Source organism: Homo sapiens, chromosome 7, assembly GCF_000001405.40.
Source record: "Homo sapiens chromosome 7, GRCh38.p14 Primary Assembly".
Classification (NCBI taxonomy): Eukaryota; Metazoa; Chordata; class Mammalia; order Primates; family Hominidae; genus Homo; species Homo sapiens.
In genome coordinates, this window is record NC_000007.14 from 84,119,713 (window position 1) to 84,141,314 (window position 21,602).

General features: G+C 34.2%; 1 protein-coding gene across 3 annotated transcripts in view; it reads right to left on the reverse strand.

Moving 5' to 3' along the window:
* Positions 1 to 21,602, reverse strand: part of SEMA3A (semaphorin 3A) — a 536,949-nt gene that overhangs the window by 163,936 nt on the left and 351,411 nt on the right. For all 3 annotated transcript variants that reach the window (XM_005250110.4, XM_047419751.1, NM_006080.3), the window contains 2 exons: positions 15,082 to 15,239; positions 9,411 to 9,473 (listed from right to left, as the gene is read on the reverse strand). In XM_005250110.4, the coding sequence (XP_005250167.1) occupies positions 9,411 to 9,473; positions 15,082 to 15,239 (221 nt within the window). The remainder of the gene's footprint in view (positions 1 to 9,410; positions 9,474 to 15,081; positions 15,240 to 21,602) is intronic.

The window sequence follows — 21,602 nt, forward strand, 5'->3', positions numbered from 1 at the left end:
TCAGACACATATAGAAGAATACTAAACACAAGTATTACAAACTACGTGTCAGTGGGACTTGGATCAACTTGCTAAATATGAGGTAAGAAGATATTGGCCAAAATCTTTTTTCCTGAAGGAACTGGTCAAATCATGATAATAAACCTTCCAGAGTATAAAATACTTACTGTACTCTAAAAGTATGTACACTGATGCATGGATGAATTATGGTGTCCAGTCAAATCTAAATAATAATTTGTTAACCAATGCCAAATATTTTATCTTCATTTCAGCCACTTAAGGATGCAATTGAAATTTTCAGTAAAAAAGGAACACAAATCAAAATCTCCAAATCTTCTGAAAGATGTTTATAAAATGTCTGTATTTCAAATGCTAGCCTTACTTTACCAAAAAAAAAAAAAATTAAAATGCATTTAAATTTTAATCCTGACCCTAAAAGATTTCCAAAAATGTAAGTTTATCTGTATGAGACTTGGTTCATGGCAATTCAAACATAATTAATACCAACCTATTTGGCTGTATTAGTAAAATGTATTAATTCAAAATATGAATACTACCTAATTTCTGAAATAAACTTAATGACAAAGTTTTATTTGCCATGTATCTTTTACCTTATATGCAAAATTTGCTTGTTTAATTACTTGAAAAGAAATATGGACTTGTAACCAAATATGAGTCACTTAAACGAGTTAACATACAAAATGCATTTAGATCAATACCAGGTATAAAGCAAGCTCTCCATAAGTGTTGGATATTATTACACTGCTTCTGAAGGCTACAGTTAAACTGTAATTATTCAGTTCAGTGTACCAGATATTTACCCACAAACAGATACAGACATACACAGGTACATACATATGAAAATCTATGCTCATAAGATAAGGCATTTACTGGCATTCATCAAAAATCAGTTATCTGTACAACTGAAGTGCCATCAAAATTCTTGATGAAAATCATATTTAAAATGGATAAACTGACCATATTCTTTCATTTGTAAGATTATGCAGAGTGTCCACATAAAATTGTAATCGATATTTTCAAAAATTATAAAGGGTCTGGGGTTTTACCCTATTTGTAAAGATAGCAAGTTAGCCTACCAGGCTTTCATGAATACTAACAAAAGATTGTGACTCAGGGTTCAGAGGTAAAGGACTTTATTACTCACAAAAATAGTGCTAGCTAGAGTATTAGAATTTCTTGTGCTATTTCCACTGGGCATTGGGAAGAGGGTCAGGTAATACCTATACATGTGGTTAGTTGCATTATAGGAGAGGAACTCTGGATGAAAAAACCTAAATATTTTATAATAGGTATAGCATGCTGACCTTTAGATATTGATGGAGATGTTATGTTTATTGCACCGGACAGTGCGCATATCTGCCCTTTGCTCCAGAGGGAGACACTCTGTTTCCCAAGACCATTTGCAAACCAGCCTTCTACTTCAGAGAAAAACACTATCGTAACTGTATAAACAGCTTTTTCTTACTTTAAACTTAATAAAACAATTTTTTATGATACTTTAAGTTCGAGGGTATATGTGCACAACGTGCAGGTTTGTTACATATGTATACATGTGCCATGTTGCTGTGCTGCACCATTAACTGGTCATTTACAATTAGGTATATCTCCTAATGTTATCCCTCCCCACTCCCCCCACCCCACGACAGGCCCCAGTGTGTGATGTTTCCCCACCCTGTGTCCAAGTGTTCTCATTGTTCAATTCCCACCTATGAGTGAGAACATGCAGTGTTTGGTTTTCTGTCCTTGCGATAGTTTGCTCAGAATGATGGTTTCCAGCTTCATCCATGTCCCTACAAAGGACATGAACTCATCCTTTTTTTGGCTGCATAGTATTCCACGGTGTATATGTGCCACATTTTCTTAATCCAGTCTATCATTGATGGATATTTGGGTTGGTTCCAAGTCTTTTTTTTTTTTTTTTTTGAGACGGAGTCTCGCTCTGTCGCCCAGGCTGGAGTGCAGTGGCGGGATCTCGGCTCACTGCAAGCTCCGCCTCCCGGGTTCACGCCATTCTCCTGCCTCAGCCTCCCAAGTAGCTGGGACTACAGGCGCCCGCCACTACGCCCGGCTAATTTTTTTGTATTTTTAGTAGAGACGGGGTTTCACCGTTTTAGCCGGGATGGTCTCGATCTCTTGACCTCGTGATCCGCCCGCCTCGGCCTCCCAAAGTGCTGGGATTACAGGCGTGAGCCACCGCGCCCGGCCGGTTCCAAGTCTTTGATATTGTGAATAGTGCCTCAATAAACATACATTTGCATGTGTCTTTATAGCAGCATGATTTATAATCCTTTGGGTATATACCCAGTAATGAGATGGCTGGGTCAAATGGTATTTCTAGTTCTAGATCCTTGAGGAATCGCCACACTGACTTCCACAATGGTTGAACTAGTTTACAGTCCCACCAACAGTGTAAAACTGTTCCTATTTCTCCACACCTACCCATCTGACAAAGGGCTAATATCCAGAATCTACAAAGAACTAAAACAAATTTACAAGAAAAAAGTCAAACAACCCCATCAAAAAGTGGGCGAAGGATATGAACAGACACTTCTCAAAAGAAGACGTTTATGTAGCCAACAGAAACATGAAAAAATGCTCATCATCACTGGCCATCAGAGAAATGCAAATCAAAACCACATGAGATACCATCTCACACCAGTTAGAATGGCAATCATTAAAAAGTCATAGAGATCTTTTTTTAAAAAAGCATGCAAAAAGCTAGTCAGGGCGTCTGCTCATAAGATGTGAGAAATGTGAAGACCCATGAAAAACTATATTCCAACAATTATACATGAGGATTTTGAAATGTAATGTAATTTTATTATTTGATAGGCTCCCAAATTAGAAGGTAATTCTAATTATCCACTTAATACAGTTTTATTATGTCTCAATATGTCTAAAATAAAATTTAAAAAATTGAAAGTTCATGTCAAATTTGACCTTTGAAAAAGTAATGAAATTTAAGGGTTGACATAGGCATTTTGGAATGCACTGTAACTTTAGATGCATGTGCAGCTTTAAATTCTCATTGCATTCACTTGGCAAAAATTAGTGCTATTGAGGTCCTGCAATTTGAGCCACAGTAAACATGATAGACATTATAATATATCATATCATTAAGAGGAGTAACAACTAAGGACAAATATATAAAAATAAATCCCTCAAGAATTTTAAAAAGTCTCAAAGTTCAGGTGCATGATACAACACTTTGAAATGTATCCAAGAATCAGAATGTTATGAGAGTCTGCTTTTTTGTTCCTCTCAGATGGTTGAAATTTTGATTTCCAATGATGTTCAAAATATTTCTAACAGTCATACGGTTGCCATTTGGTTTTACTGAAATTTAGTGCAAAGAGAGATGGTTTAGTAGGATAAACAAAGAAGATTCAGAGAGCTATTGATTCAAAACAGATTCTTTTACCAGCTTAGAATGTATTCAGCTTTCATTTGCAAAACAGGGTCAATGAAGTTAATCCATCAATAGAAATGTTACTGTGTATAACCAACTGAATTTTAAGCACTAGAAAAATACCGAAAATGGGAGTAACGGTGAATAACAGCAGCCAGAATACAGGTATCTCGACTGTATTTATTTCCCTATCCAGGGTCTCTGTCCAACAGTATTATATACTGCATTATATATATATTTTTCAAATAACAGCTCTCAAGTAACAGCAATGGAAAAATTCATAAGCATTTCACTACTCTAATGCTAAAAATGCCACAGCAATTTGAAGGTTTAGAATCTACAATACCAAAAAAGACATATTAATATGATGATTTGTTTTATATCCTGTACATTCAGTTCTACAAGAGAAAATTAAATGTAGATGAATATCAGAAATGTCATCACCAGCACATGCATGTACATGCATGCGCAGGCACACACACACACTCTATATAGAAAAAATATATAAATATATAGAAAAGCAATATTAAAAGAACAATAAGTGTTATCAGATAAACATATATTTTATATATATCAGATAAAATATATATATTTAAAATATACAATTTATTTCTTATTGTTTAATATATATTATCTGATAACCTTATATATATATATTTATCTGATAACCTGATATATATATATGAGAGAGAGAGAGAGCAAGAGAGTATAACTATGTGCCTGAGGCTACAGGTTTCCTCTTTAACAACAAAGTCCATTCTTTGTGGAATAGTTGCTTGAATTACAGCTGCTGATTTAATATATGTGTTTGGTGCAAAACTCGGCAGAGAGTAATGATGAGTTATATTATCCCAGCTGCATGAGAGAATGCGGAGACGTTTCACTTTTCTGTATGATACCATACTCAGTGACACAGAAACTATGTAGGTTCAATCCAGTGGCATGTCCTGGTTTCTGGTTTACTGTGTTGTCATAGCCATAGGAATGAGCTTTTCCTTAACTAGGCATAAGAATGGCCCACTCTAAAAGTGCATAAGATTAGCCAGTGTCTTGACCCCTCTTTTCCTATTGTAGCCTTCTATCTGAATCTGATGCTGCAGAGATAGCATTTTACCCAGTGTGACTTGTTTAAAGGCACTTCATTTCCAGTGGACTTTTCGAGGAAATCAGTAGGAAATGGTAAGTGCAGGCTCCGGAAATCAGGGATAACAAGTAAGGAGGTTGTTTGTTTACTTTACTATAAATGTTCAGGTCAGTTCCTATTTTGGTTACAATTCTGTCTTGGAGCCCTGATGGCTGCCACAGCCACTCACATCCATTCTTGTGGTTTTCAGTATTACCCGAGCCCTTTGAAAGGAATTATTGTCTGTAAGTCACAGCTGACTATTATTTACCCAAGATACAGTGCAGAATTTCCATCAAACTGTCCGTTGTGTCACTTTGCAAATCAGGTGTCAAATGAAAGAAAAAGCCTCTTTCTTCTTAATATTTATTTCTTATTGTTTATTTAAATCATTGTTAAAAATAATAATGCTATTTATTTTCTTATGTTTATTAAGGAAGGGATGTTACAAATCCCAGGGATCCATCCAATAGCTATTTCTAAAATCATATATTAAGAAAGAAATGCAAAAATTGCATCTGTAAATTAAAATCCAAAAATAACCAATGAATGCCATGAATCATCTTGAAGTGCACAAAATATGTAAACTGAGGCATTACTTAAATGAGGTTAACTGAAAATTAAAATAAATTTTAATAAAATTATAAATGAATAAAATATATCTTGCATAAAAAATGTATGAAAAGCAATATTAAAGGATCTATAAGGGTTATCAGCAAAATAGTATGAAATACATTTTAACATTGAGTAGAGCTGGAAGAAAAATATATTTTTCCTTGAAATAAAATATATAAAAACTTCTGTTTTCCTTTCACTATATAAATCATAATGGAGAAAATTCAAAATCTTGAATTGATTTAATGCAGAATATGAAGAAATACCAAAGCACAAATATTTTATAATGTTACAATTAATTAATTAACTGATTTTTGAAAACATTATTAAGGCAATGTTATCACACCATTGCACTTTTAAAAATGTGTGTCTCTCTATGCACTTCTATCATAATGATTTATATTTTTTCAGAATCTTTATTACAAGGTGCTGTGAAATGATCTGGTGTCACTCTATCAGATTCAGCAAACTCCATGTCTTAGATCCTTTTAATTAAGTTCCATAAAATTCATAAACATTTTTAGTAAGTGTGGAAAATGCAATGAAGTTGCCTTTCTTCTTTGAAAGTATTCTTGACCAGCCTGGCCAACATGGCAAAACCCTGTCTCTACTAAAAATACACAAATTAGCCGGATGTGATGGTGGACACCTGTAATCCCAGCTACTAAGGTGGCTGATGCAGGTGAATCTCTAAAGTCATGATTAAGTGATTAAATTATCCTCCACAGGGCCTTGTGGATCATTAGTTTATTGAGGCTGCTGAACTAACTACATCTGGGCTAACCGCAAGAATCCCTTAGTTTTTTGTATTAATAACAGGGAGAGAGAGGCAAAGATAGAGAGGGAGAGAGAGGAGAAAGTTCCCATAAAAGATGTGGGAAATGCCTTGAGGTGAATAATTTTAGAAATCACAAACACAAATTAAATCTGCTATCTCAGCCATTGAATGAGTTGATCCAATTATGAAATCAAATATGCTTGACTGGGTTGATTCAGTCGTGAAATCAAATAAAGCTTCAGTTTGTATTAGAATATGCAGATAATTTGTAAGATAACTAGATAAGCATGGTTATTACCTTAAATTTTCAGACCAAATCAAATTCAGAACAATGAAACACTGCAGTGGTCATAACCATTAAGGAGTGTTGAATTAATTTCATTAACAATGTTTTCACTTAGAAATTGTCCATACTACTCTATTACATATACTAATAATAGCAATAATGACTAACATTATATTTATATTGTTAGTTATTAATATCTCAGTTACGTAATATTTTGCATGGGTTCCTTTGAGCCTTACAGGAATTGTGTGAGTTATTTATTTTATTTTACTTTTTTTTGAAACAGAGTCTCACTCTGTCACCCAGGCTGGAGTTCAGTGGCATGATCATGGCTCACTGAAACCTGCACCTCCCGGGTTCAAGCGATTCTCCTGCTTCAACCTCCCCAGTAACTGAGACCACGGGCATGTGCCACCACGCCTGGCTAATTTTTGTATTTTTAGTAAAGATGGGGCTTCACCATGTTGGCCAGGCTGGCCTCGAACTTCTGACCTCAAGTGATCCATCCTCTCCAGCCTCCCAAAGTGTTGGGATTACAGGCATGGGCTACCGCGCCCGGATGAGTTGATTATCATCATACTTACACTGTTGATGAGCCAGAAAAGGTAATATATTTGTTCAAATCTATTACTTATCATCTGTGTGTTAAAAGCTATAAATAGGTAAATTAGCCATTTCTATTCATCCTCAGGTATTATCTCACTGAATATTTTAATGTAATTTGTTAATGGTAAAATGTAGCTTTTTGACGTTAATAGATTTTTGTTTGTTCAATTATACTTTTAGCCTTGTATTATTGAAGATTTTTCTACTTTTCAAATAATTTTCACAAAAACTATTAGAGTTGTTTCTCACAGTGATATATGTGTTGTCTCACTTAATAGATGAGAAGCTAAAGCCCAAAGAAAGTTAGCATACTTGCTCAGTACATTCATGAGTCAGTAGGGGTATCAGCACAAAATTCTCAACCTCTCTGGGTTCTTACTTCATTGTGCTTTCTATTTACTCCTTTCCAGAAGTTTCAAATTATGCATCATTTAGGGATAGTATAAAATTTGATAGAAGAACACACTTTTTTTTTTTTGATCCACTGTTACATAACCAGAAAAACATTTGCTCTACTATGAAGGTGTAAAGGGACTTTCAGTTGACAGATTCTCTCCTTACCTAACTCTAGTCAGACTCTCCTGAACTCTCTTCACAAGAAGGCCCTGACTTTCCGATTTCCATGTTCATCTCCGCTTGGTCCAGTTTTCACAAGAATCCTGTTGAGTCAGTTTACAGAAATTCTCCCACCATTGATATGTGTGATCAAATTCCTGCCCCACTGCCCTGCCTCACTGTCAATATCTTATCACCCTGGCTGCCTTCAGTAATAATCCTGCCTAATCAATTTATCCACAATTCCCATTACTCCGATGTTTCCTCTTGGCAATTTTCCACCCACTGACTCCCACTTTGCTTCTTAGCTATAAATTTCCACTTATCCTTGTATTCAGCATACCCTGTTATTAAGCTCAATCTCTTACCCCCATTACAAAACTTCATTGCAGCAGTACCCCTGAATAAAGTCTGCCTTACCATCTTTAATACGTGTCATGAATATTTTAACATAATAACTATATGTTTAATATATAATTTTCAAGGATGAATTTCCCATGTTTGCTAATGTACAGGTATTAAGGATGGGGGATACCTGTGCTTTGTGATCCTTTATCTAACTTCCTTCACCTATAGGCAACATTGCTGCTAGATTGAGTCAGTCTTTTCCCAGGAACTCAGATTCCAACTCTAAATCCTTCTAAACATATACATCATTGTAGGCAACTGTAACAAATCAATCAAGTTGTCGCTTGAAAATATCTATGTATCTATATACACATGTACAGTTTGATTTATGCCTTTAGGCAACACACAGAATACATTTATTCTAAATCCTTTTAAATACAGATAAAACTTTTAAACATATTGCTTTGTATTTTAAACATCCCCAAATATCAGTTAAACATAAAATTATATAAAATTATATATTTTTAAAATTCTGTAATTCATTTGAATTAATTTATTTAAATGATTATAAAACTACTTTTCATGGTCTGTGCAAATACTGGGCTATTCCTCAAACCAGTCACCCACTTAATTTTCCTGACAGTTTACTTTACAAAAAATGGCCTCTATCTTTTTACAATGCTAAAACCATTGTAGGGATTGCTTACTATTCATCTTTCACTCCAGAGTGCCTAGGACAATTCCTATTGCATGGTCCTTTTTCAACCCATATTTATTTAAAGGATGAATACATGGAAGGAAAGGAGAGAGGAAGAAAGAAAGGATGAAAGGAAAGAAAAAAGATGGAGAAGGAAAAAGAAAAGGAAAGAGGAGATAAAAGGAAAAAAATGGGAAGAAGAAAAGATACGTAATTTAATTATGACTCAGAAATGGAAACATTTCATATCATTTCAAGAAGAATTCAAGGGGAATTAACATGAAAATCAACCTGTGGAAAGAAGTTGACTTATTGAATATAAGTATGTATGCTACAAAGTCACATTTTGTTAATTAGTTTTTCCATATATAAATAACCAAAGAGACCATATTTTTGCTTTAAGGAATATTCTTATTTTTACATACATTCTATACATAAATCTGTCAGTGTTCCAAAATTGAATACTATCATTTTATTTCTCAAGGGTGATTAAGTTTAAAAGTAAAATGTGGTGCTTCACAGAACACTAAACAAAAATAGATGACAGAGTAATAAATTACTTATGTAATTACTGCAGGTCGAGCATCCCTAATTCAAAATCCTGAAATCTGCAATCCTCCAAAATCTGAAATTTTTTGAGCACCCACATGACCCACAAGTGGAAAATTCCGCACCTGACCTCATGTGATTAGTCACATTCAAAATGCAGACACACAGCACAGTTTTTTTCAGCATCCCCGAGGGAAAAATAAAATTACCTTTAGGCTATGGTTATACTATGTATATGAAACATAAATAAATTTTGCTTTTAGTATTGGGTTCTATCCTAAAGATATCTTATTATATATATGAAAAGATTCTAACCCCTTCCCCACACACACAAAAAAATCAGAAATTTGAAACACTTTTGTCCCAAGCATTTTGAATGAAGGATACTCAACCTGTATAATAATTTAGTAGGTTAATGCTTACCAGGATGTCTTTTCCAGCCCACTTGCATTCATCTCTTCTGGTGTAAGATACTGGCCACACAATCTAAGGACAGAGAATAAACATTGTTTTATGTCAACTAAGTTGTCTAAGAGATCCAACACCATATAGTCTTTTAGATGACATTGGGGCAACTGAAGTAAAGAAAGTTCCATAAAGACTGTTTCAGGAAACTTTCACTTTAGACCTTCCAGTGGCGCCAGTTAATTGGTGTGAACATAAGTCATTGATTCTCCATCTACCCAATAGCCTTTGCTATATATAAAAGTTGAGCAAGAGAGAAACTGGTGTAGACAATAGATCTAAGCAGTGTAGTATGGCAAGAACTAGCACACAGATTGGGAGAGGGAGATCTTGAGAGAACGTGAGAATTTAGTGAAGAGAAGTAGAAACTGGCATAGAATATGGCTCAGATTCTTCTAAATTAGTCTTTATCATGAAATAGTGATTTTGCAGTTTTAACATTTGGGTGCTTTGGATACATTTCCCTGAAACAAATCTCAGCATGACATTTTAGAATAAGTAACTGAAAGGATTAAAAAAATACTTAGAATGGAAACTTCTCTTTTTTCTCCTCTTGACTTTTTTTTTTTTTTGGAAAGGGAAAATATTTAAAAGTAGCATGGTATATGTTAGAGAAATAAAGGTAGACTGAAGAAACAAACAAATAGCTCTAAAAGACAATCACCCTCTCTAATGTGGGCTAAAAGACTAGTTGAGAAACAATTATTTGTGTTTTTATCCCTCATATTTAGTCTTCATCCTTCCAAAACGTCCCATATTGTGTGAATACAGTGACAGTAGTAGATGAACTATGATGTTAATGGTGGCTTGGAGGACAGTGGATTCATCCCCCCAACAATATTAATCCAAATACTCTCATTTGATTTTAATATAAAATCCCCTGAGCAATTCCAATGACTCCTATCTGTATAGGGGCAGAACAGTTTGGGTTTTTTTATTCATTTTTCCTTTCTAGTAATATTATGAATAGTTAATTTCAGTGGGAAAAAAGTCATATATAAAAAAACAGAAATGATGGCACTTAATCATTCATGTCTGCTGGAAAGCTTTTAGCCTAAAATGACTGATTGTCATTCATTTGGGAACCTCCAGATAATTCAGTATAAATGATCATCAACTTGGGCAAAGGCTATGATATTCAATCTGGAGAATTACAAAGCAAAACAAAACACATTTACAAACAAGGATTTGGCACATATTGAAGTAGTGTATGATGACTTGATAAATGCATTTCAGGTCCATGTCAAAACAATATACCCTAAAAATTATTGGATAGGCATTCATTTTTAACATTAAGTTCTAAATTTGAGTATTCTTTCTATCTTATGTGCTTTCCTTTTCACATTTGCCTGCATATGTAAATTAAAATTATAGTTGAGTTGTTCCACAGGCTTTTACAAAGTAGTCACATAAAAACATTCAAGAATTCAAGATCAGTAAGTGTATCATTCTGATAATTAACATTACTCTGACTACTGAATTTCTAGAATGATTGCTGGGCAATCCCAGCAGTTGAGTCTTCACATTGGAGATGGAAAGGCAAGGGGATCTATTTTTATTTAAAGTTTATAATGGAAGAGGGTAAAACATAACTTTTCTCTAGGGCATAACAATAATAATATATAACAGTTAAGATTTACTGACTTTCATATTCAGCTTTCCAGCTAAATTGTGCTGAAATCACTGATTGTTAAAACATATATATGTTTAAAAACAAAAGTTACAATATAAAAATATATATACTTAAAAAGACAAGTTGTTTTCTCATAGTTTCCTAGCTCTCGTTGCTTAATTGTTGAGACAGTATAGACCTCATTTTATGATTCTCTGTGATTCTTTTATCTAAGTAAAATATTTATAAACAATAATTTGTATAATATTCATGCTAAAAATTCTTAGACTTAAAAGGGCCTTTTAAGTTTCCAGAGTTCCAGGGTTAATAATAATAATAATAGCAAATAAAAGTTTAGAAATCTGACATGAGTAAAATAAATTTTGATGTAGAAATGTTCTTTTGGAGAGCAATTTAATGAGGGTAAGTATAAGCCAGTGGAACAAAAGTAAATGTATGTTTAATAGTCTTTTAAGTATTCATTTCCATAAAGAGTAATTACTAATGTTTTGGATGGATTTGTTTAACTGTTGGTGGTTGGAATTCTCTTTTTATTCTTTGCTCACAAATTTCTCAGTTAACTATCTAAATTTCTTATTCTCATTTTCAAAGTGCTTCATAATCTATTTTGTACTTTTTCATCCTTATGCCTCTACACTTCCACTCATGGCAGGCCCACTTACACATGTTATATAATAAGCATTTATGCTTTAAAGAGATTGTACCCTTTTATCAAAGCCAAGAATCTTTCCACAGTTCTTCCAAACCTGAACATGTGTTTTTGCCTCGAAGAGGGATTTGCCTAGTATTTGCCCATAAGATTACTATTTTATCTTTACTGTTAACCTTGTAAGGTCATCAAGAATTATTAATAACAAACCATAAATCTCCTGTAGTGTTCATCACAATAGGCGCTTAGAAGAAAGCTATTTGAACATTACATATACATAGGTTAAAAGGAATATTAAAACACTCCAAATATATGTATAAACAAATTATTTATTTATTTATTTATTTATTTATTTATTTATTTTGCGACAAGGTCTCACTCTATTGCCCAGGCTGGAATGCAGTGGTATGATCACAGCTCACTGCAGGCTTGACCTCCAGGGCAATGATTGTCCTGCCGCAGCCTTTAGGCTAGCTGTGACTACAGGCATGTGCCACCATGCCCAGCTTATCTGTGTATTTTATTTATTTATTTATGTATTTATTTTGTAGCGACAGGGTTTCACTATGTTGCACAGGCTGGTCTCAAACTCCTAGACACCAGCAATCTGCAGGGCTTGGCCTCCCAACCTGCTGGGATTACAGGTGTGAGCCACCATACCCAGCTGATATAAATTCTTAAGTAAATTGGGTTCATTTGTATAAACAATGTGATATAATTAAAATAAATAATCTGTTTGTAATAGGATGTTTTTAAAATTAGAAATATACCCTTTATTATTAGTAGAATGATTTTAAACTCAAAGGCAAGTGCTATAACAAGAAGATCACGATTTTGGACAAATCATTTACCTTGTAATTCATTATTTTAAGATAGTTCATTTTAAGTATATTTGGTAAAAGATACTGTGATATATTCTGAGTGTACAAATGGCTGTAGAATTTTCTTAGCTGTAAGATTTTTATTTTATAATTTGATTATTTTCAGTTTTAGAAATAATTGAATAGTTTAACCACATTCAGAATATATACTCACAGAAAAATGTTAAATAAATTAAATATATAATCTTAGGTATTCTATGCTCATAAAGCTATCTATCTGTAGATATATACATATATGAATATCACAAAATGATAAATTATTATAAATACCTACAATTTTAACTGATAAAATTTCCTAAAATCAATATATCTAATTTTTCTTCATCGACTTGGTGTTTTTTTTTTTTTTTTTTTTTTTTTTTTTTTGAGACGGAGTCTCGCTCTGTCACCCAGGCTGGAGTGCAATGGCATGATCTCAGCTCACTGCAACCTCTGCCTCCCAGGTTCAAGCCAGTCTCTTGCCTCAGCCTCCCAAGTAGCTGGGATTACAGGCACTCATTACCACACCCAGCTAATTTTTGTATTTTTAGTAGAGACAGGTTTCACCATGTTGGCCAGGCTGGTCTTGAACTCCTGACCTCAGGTGATCCACCCGCCTTGGCCTCCTGAAATGCTGGGATTACAGACATGAGCCACCGCACCAGACCTATTTTGTGCTCATTTTATAAAGAATGGTTTTCTTTTGGTAAAACAACAACAAAAATCTGCTAATTTTATGATATTTTCAAAAGACTAAGATAAATACTTATCATTTCAGAAAAACAAATGAATAACCAGTATTTTTCGATAATAGATAACAGGCATTTATTCCTATCATCTGAGGGGGCTTTGAAATCAATTGAATTGAAAAATCAAAATAGAAATACCCGAAGTGATTTTTAAAGTTGGCATATCACAATTCTAAAATACATTATAAGTGTATTACCATTTTATATGACTCTATATATAATGAATCAAATTTCTTTATGTTGTGGTCAGATTTTTAGTGTTCAGGTAATGGAAGAAAAGAAAATGTCTTAGGTTTATGCTATACTCTATTAAAAATGTAAATCAGCTTTGAATTTAAAACTGCATTTTATCCCAAAAGCAACCCTCTCCAACCAGAATAAAAGCTTTTAAAAATTCTGTCACTTCTTAAAAATTATCATCAAATCTGCTATTGGTTGTGAGTAGTTGGGGCATACCAGTTCAAAGCCCTCAATGTTAAGAAGTAAAACTAATACAAATAGAAACAGACAGGGATGTATTCCAAAATGAAATTCTACTATTACCTTTATGAAAGCTACTGCATAAAGACCTTTATTCTTCAGATAATTATTATCAGAAATACTGACTGTGATAAAATGGTTCACTTAGACACAACACATATAGACTTAGTAGCACAATTTTCACTAATTTGTCAATCTATGTTTATATCTGTTAAACTGTATAGCTTATAAAAGGCCGGGCGCGGTGGCTCACACCTGTAATCCCAGCACTTTGAGAGGCCAAGGCGGGCGGATCACTTGATCAGGAGATCGAGACCATCCTGGCTAACACGGTGAAACCTCGTCTCTACTAAAAAAAAAAAAAAAAAAAAAAAAAATTAGCCGGGCGTGGTGGCAGGCACCTGTAGTCCCAGCTACTCGGGAGGCTGAGACAGGAGAATGGCGTGAACCTGGGAGGCAGAGTTGCAGTGAGCCAAGATCGCGCCACTGCACTCCAGCCTGGGCGACAGAGCGAGACTCCATCTCAAAAAACAACAACAACAACAACAAAAATATAGCTTATTAATGAAATGAGCCAGAAATACTATAAAGAATAAAGATAGAACTTATATCCTGCTGATGTCTGCATGACCACATTTTTAAAAATCTGATACTTTGATCTCCTAGATCAGGGTTTGGCAAATTTTTTGTTTAAAAGGCCAGATAGTAAATCATTTTTGTAGACCAGTTGATACCCTTTGTAACTATTGAATTCTGCTGTTGTAGCACAAAAACAGACATAGGCAATATGTCAATGAATGGGAGTGCTTGTGTTTCAATAAAACTTTATTTACAAACACTGATAGCATGCCAAATTAGGCATGTGGGTAATGGATAGATGAACTCTTCATTTTCTGGAAATACAGAGAAATATAAATTTATACCTACACACATATAAATAGTTCATGAAGTCAATTATGATGTATTGCTACGATGGTTCAAGTATTTACTTTTATGTAGGAAAAATAGATATGAAAGGGTAAGCTGAAGTTCATATTTCTTATAATGATTACTGCAAATACTGTGGTTTCATCCTTGATATTTTTTGATTTATTGCATCCATTGATTCATTACTGTCATTTTTATTTGCATCAGAAAAGACAAACTATTAATTCAAAACAATTTTCTGTCAGTAATCATGCTTTTAAATAGCTAGAGAATTATCTATAACTTGAGATGCTTCAAAATAACTATAGTGCATATATTAGAATACTGATACCTTTTGAAAATCCTTGATATTAACCAGGTCGAATGAAAATATGTGATCCTTTGCTCCAACATACAGCCTACTCCGTTCCTCATCCAAAAGGAAGGTATGATAACTGGAGCTGTTGGCCAAGCCATTGAAAGTGATCACATTGTTGGATTCCAACATTTCTGCAAGGTAACAAAGCAAAACATTGGGTATTAATGTGAAGCACTATATAAGCATAGACTGTTGGTACATGGTAACCTGACTATATTGACTGCTGTAGTTATCAATCAGTGCTTATTCTTCAGGGTACTAAGAAATATATTGGAACCAAAATGTGTGCATTTTACTTTTTTTTTTTTTTTTTGAGATGGAGTTTTGCTCTTGTTGCCCAGGTTGGAGTACAATGGCGGGATCTCGGTTCACCACAACCTCCCGAGTTCAAGCGATTCTCCCACCTCAGCCTCCCGAGTAGCTGGGATTACAGACATGCACCACTATGCCCGGCTAATTTTTGTGTTTTTAGTAGAGATGGGGTTTCTCCATGTTGGTCAGGCTGGCTTCGAACTCCTGACCTCAAGTGATCCTCCTGCCTCGGCCTCCCAAGGTGCTGGGATTACAGGTGTGAGCCAGTGTGCCCGGCCTGCATTTTATTAAAATGAGAGTTATATTCCTATTTGCTGGTTTCATACTTAATATGGTGCAGTCCTAAAGAAGAGAGGAAGTGAAATAACTTGTCTATACACACTGATCTGGCAGAATTTATTTGCATGTAGTAATGGATTAGACTGATCAATATTGTGTATAAATGTATTTAATTTTACAAAAACTTTTTAAAAGTGGTTTCATTTGTTCCAAGCCATTAGATAGAAGGATAAGCACAGAACCTAACAAAATAGGAATGTGGGGGAAACATCCGGTTTAACCTCTTAGGTTCCTTGAGGCCTCTTTTATTTGAAATATTTTAATATGTCTTTTTGATCATTAAATGATTCACTGTACTGCCTAAATTCTTTCAAGCATTTTGGAGCTGATATATAGAGAGAAACTGAGATGAGGCTTTCATGAAAACATGAATTAAATTAATTTTACCATCTGACTTCAATTTTTCATTTGTTTTTGCTCTCCAGTTTGCTTCTGCTGTGAATAGGCAAATACTAAACAATATACCTATACTTTAGTGACAGGAACACTTTCAGATTAAAAATAACATTAAATATAAGTCCATTTTTGTGCTTGGAAGCTAATTAATTATTGGCTTCTTAAAAATATGTTTTGCTCAATGCACGCACACATGTACACACACACACCCCACCCCCATGGGATAGAATTTTTGAGGATTCTCCAAAACTGTATGTCCTGAATCAGTGCTTTAGATTTTTCGGGTGCACACTTAGTAGGAAATTTTCATCAGCATCCAGAAAAATGTAGAATGCGATGTGCCTTCCGAAGAGAGAAAGCTGCAATGTAGACCTGTCCTCTGTTCCAGCTATTAACATCAGGAAACATATATTAGCCATGTGATTGATTGCCTTGCTTTATCTATTTGTCCTACTGACCTCTTCATTTTATCATTTTATCATCAAAAATATGATTTCAACAGAGGATAAAATTCATACTCTTTAACTTAGCACTAAAGGTCAGGTCACTATCATTTAAATTTAGACCCTATCCCAGTACTTCTCATGTCCTCTATCATGCGGGAAACCATGCACTGTGCTCATTCACTCTTTGGCCTTTGTTGCTATTTTTCCTGACTCCAACAGCTACAGAATAGAGCCACGCTTAAAGCTAGTTCAAATGCAACTGCCAAGAAATTCTCAGAGAGCTTCCTGTTACATTTTGCTTGAATTACTCTTATAACCTGCATCCCACTGTCAATTATTGCAATCTTATCTACCAGAATGAACATTCCCTGCGGAAATATATAATTAATAGCTCATCATGCCTAACTCACATTTTTTTTTCATATTACCTGGTCAACAATGTAAAATGGAATATCTATCTTTTTATATATTTACCTATCCTATAGACAAAAATTGTTAACAAATTGTTAAAAGATATTTTTCTCATTTCTTCATGAGAAATAGTACAATACTAGGCTGGCCTTACTCCCTACCCCACCCCACTCTCCACACACACAAAAAAAAGAAGAAGGGGAGGAAGGAAGGGAGGGAGGGAAGGAGGGAGGGAAGAAGGAAGGAAGGAAGGAAGGAAGGAAGGAAGGAAGGAAGGAAGGAAAAGAGTTTGTATTCATGTGAATCACAGCTGAAATAAATGAGAGCTGTTAGTCTCCAGAGAGGAGGGACAGAAAATCCACTACATAATATCTAAATTGAAATGGCATTTATTGGCTGGACACGGTGGCTCATGCCTGTAATCTCAGCACTTTGGTAGTCCAAGGCGGGTGGATCACGAGGTCAGGAGTTCAAGACCAACCTGGCCAACATGGTGAAACCCTGTCTCTACTAAAAATACAAAAAAATAAGCTGGGCTTGATGGCGGGTGCCTGTAATCCTAGCTACTCGGGAGGCTGAGGCAAGAGAATTGCTTGAACCTGGGAGGTAGAGGTTGCAGTGAGCCGAGATTGCACCACTGCACTCCAGCCTGGGTGACAGAGCAACATTCAGTCTCAAAAAAAAAAAAAAAAAGAAATGGCATTCATTTCATTGGCATCCAAAAGATTACAAATGATCAATGCTATGCTACCCAGAGTCAATAAAAGTCTGAAATTTCAGGCACTCTGAGTTGTGTGAGGATGGAAACGGGCTGCTGCCAGAGGCACGGGCTGTATCACTGGATATGTTCAGGCCCTGATTGAATGGTCATTCAAAGAGATCTGTTTATCAAATGGATACCCTTCATCCTTACTTCCAATTCTAAGATCTGTAATTCTACCTTAGTTTCAGAGAGGCCAAACTTTAAAAAAAAAAAAAAAAAAAAAAGCCACCTCAGCCTAAACCAAAAAAATTACATAGAGATATTAAGCAATGAAAGGGCCATGTAAGAGGTACAAGAATGGATTTTAATTGCAAATGCATAGAAACTACATAAGGGATCTCTAAGCATCAATTGGAAGAAGTTGTAGGAAAATAAATACTATAGCTACAGATTTTGGAGTTATACAGTTATAAGTAAGAACACAAGCCATCACCACAGTACTTATCTTTTAGATGTGCAAACTAGGACAAGTTCCTTAAACTCCCTGGTCCCAAGTTTTATAGAAGATGGGATGAATAATGTATCTTTTAAGAGTTAATGTATCTTTTAAGAGTTACTGAGGTGAAATTAGATAATGCCTATAAAAATACTAGAACAAGCATTTCCTAGTAAGCACTCAATTAAATATTTCCTGTTTGTATAAGTAGAAGTTAAATATTTGTAGGTTGATCTTCTTGACCAGATGTAGCAAATTACAGTCCAGATGGAGTAGACTGAAAACTATATATATTTTTTTTCTTTTTTTTTAACCTATCTTACTAAGTGTCCTAACTTGTAAACATCAGTAATTTTGTATGGTGGAGGGAAAATAAGAATAGCAGTATGTTCTTTGATTTACACTAATATTAAATGTAATGGCATTTTAAGAACAATGAAGTATTCCTTCTTGTTTTCCAGTTTATGTATTCTCAATTCTAAATAATAAAAGGAATGACTTTCTATATCACAGTTCCAAACAATGAAAATATTTTCCCAATTGAAAAATATGTTCCAGGGTGAATTCTGTAAATTAGTTTGGACAGAATTACTGTTTCCTACGTACAGACAACTTACGGAAGTTTTTGGTGGCTTATGTATGAAATCATCATGAAAACAAACCACAGTTTTAAACTGTTACTTCTCAACAGTTTGATTTTTTAAAAAAGACAATACTTTCCTGGCATATGTGTTAGCAGCTGTCTTCCACTGCTTTCAAATGTGCTTAATTTTGTCTCATTATTCCTTTCACTCCAAATCCTTTAGATGTTCTTCTCCAACACGAGATTTTTATATTGCTTTATAACTTAGAGAAGAGTCTTAAAAACTAATGTCAGTGAACAATACAAATTCTGGATTGCTTAGGTTATATCACCACTTTCCAGTGTGAGATTAAATAGAAATTGGGTGAAATTTTATTCAATAGATTAAATAGAAACATGGGTTAAAATCAGACACATTTTTTTTTCCAAATCTAGTTCTCAGATTCTTCAGTATTCTGTTTTCCTTAGTTAAATGCATGACTTTGATTTTCCTAGATGTAGAGACAATTAGCTGCCTCCAATATTAAATAACTTTGAATGTACTCCTTCAGAATTTTAAGTCTTTCTTTCGTTTCAGTTATGTATCTTACAATGACATAAACTGCTATGGGAACTATAGTAAAATTCAGTAATGTGAAATGTGTGTTATTCTTCCACCTTCTTACATCTTGCCTATGCTCATATTCAGTTAAACAACAATTGTTGTTTTTAAAAAACAAGCTAAGTTTCTATAAAATTAATTTGACTATGGTGAATCTGAATAGGCCAAAGCTTTTAGAGGCATTAATTCTCTTTGAATGTAATTGTTTTTCTCTGGTTGAGAGATTACTTCAACTTCTACATGCTGTGTCGAGCTATAAGAGAAGCAAATGTAGGATTGTAATTAAAGATGCCATTTCAGAACACTCTTTAATAAAGTATGTATTCTTAAATTTGGAAGGTGACTAAAGAAGCATTCTGTTCACTCCAGATTCACCAAAGGATTTAGTGTGTTTATGAGTTGCTTAATGACAAAATGGAAAACATACTGACTGTAAAACCAGACACAGACATGCAGTTTGTGCTCAATAACTGCTAATTATTGTCACCATTCTTACTATTATATAAGACAATGAAGACGACAAGCTTTAGTGCATAGCTTGCGGGGCAGAAAAAATCAACTTAAATAATTTCAAGTAGCAGTGTTGTCAATTATAAATAAATTGTACTCTCTTGTGATGTAGTTTCACAAAGTAGAGGAGTCTCATGAAATTCAAGATTCTTATATGTAAAGTCCATTTGATAGATTTCTATTTAAGAGTATGTTACAACAGAATAAATTATAAATTATAATTGATCTCTAATATGCTACCAGTTAATCGTGGGAGAAAAACCATATTTTATAATGAGTCAATTTTAATTTTTATTCTATTTATTTATCTATAAATGTTCATATTTACTTTTCCCCCCAAGAGTAATCATAATCTCTAATGTATATTTACTTTTAAAAAGAAGCATTTGAAGGGAGAAATTGATAGCAATCACCATCAGTTCCATATTTGAGATATTAATGGTTGTTTTATAAACTAGTGTTCTTCTCATGCATGTGTTTTGTTAAATGGAAAGAAAAAAGACACTCGCACCAAAATCATGCACGAGGATTGGGAACACTTACACAAAAATAATAAATGATGATTCACCCCTACATACCAAGACTGTATGTTTCCTGTTGTGTTCTGATTTTCTTTAGGATGAACACAGATTTACAAAGATGGTTACATTATAATGACTGGGTCAGATTCTCAAAAAGGCAATGAAATTAATACAGATTTCTGGTTTGCAAGAGTGCCCAGAACTAGACTTTTTATAGTGGGAGGAAGAACTCCTGTATATTTGACCTTCAAATCCAGACAATATCCACCCTGTTCTTTATATTTCTGACTTCTGTTATATTTCTCTGTCTCTCTTTTTCCAAGTTTGGTAACATGAAAGGTAATAGGACCCCACCAGTTGCTGGACTCAAATGAATTGCCTGTATTCATTGATGGCTTTAGGCTTATGTCCTTTTTCCATGACTTGAACTTTGTCCTTTTCATAGAACAGTCAAAGAACCCATTGAAGTAGTCAAAGGCTGGGTCTATATGATGCCAAAACATTTTGGCTAAATGATGACCACATCTAGATATTTGTAAATATTGGAAAGTTCAGTAAGGTCCAACAGTTTTAGATCCTATATTTTAGTACTTCCTGGATTTTATTTTCAATTTCATGAACCAAAAAAGTTCCAGAATAGAGGCTGAAATGAAAGTTCACAACTTTTTCTTGCATTATAAGAACAAAAAAACAAAAGCAAGGACTATTTGCTATCATTGTCATTTCATTAGAAAAAAGGGGGTGGGAGCCATTTTATTTTATGAACAAAATGATCAAAATGAGCAAAAACATGAACAACGAATAATCTTCAGAGATAAATAAATTTGCATAATGGAAAAATTCAATCTATTTTCTTTATTTCACCAAGGACTAGTTTTTAACATTTTATTACACGCAAGATTAGGACCTTTCCACAGACTGATGTTTGGCAAGTACTGCTCTAAGGTAACTGTGTGGAGGATGAATTCTACTCCTACTATTTCTGGTCAGTGCATCTTGTCATTGCGTAGATGGGGCCAATACCAATGGGCATCTATATGCTTTTATTTATTTGGTGATGCCGAGTATATTCTCTTATTCTACAATGTTTGCTTAAAATATGCATCAAGCTTACACATCCTGATCTGTTACTAACTTTTACCTTGACTAGTCTCTCCAGCCTGTGCCAGAGGCCAC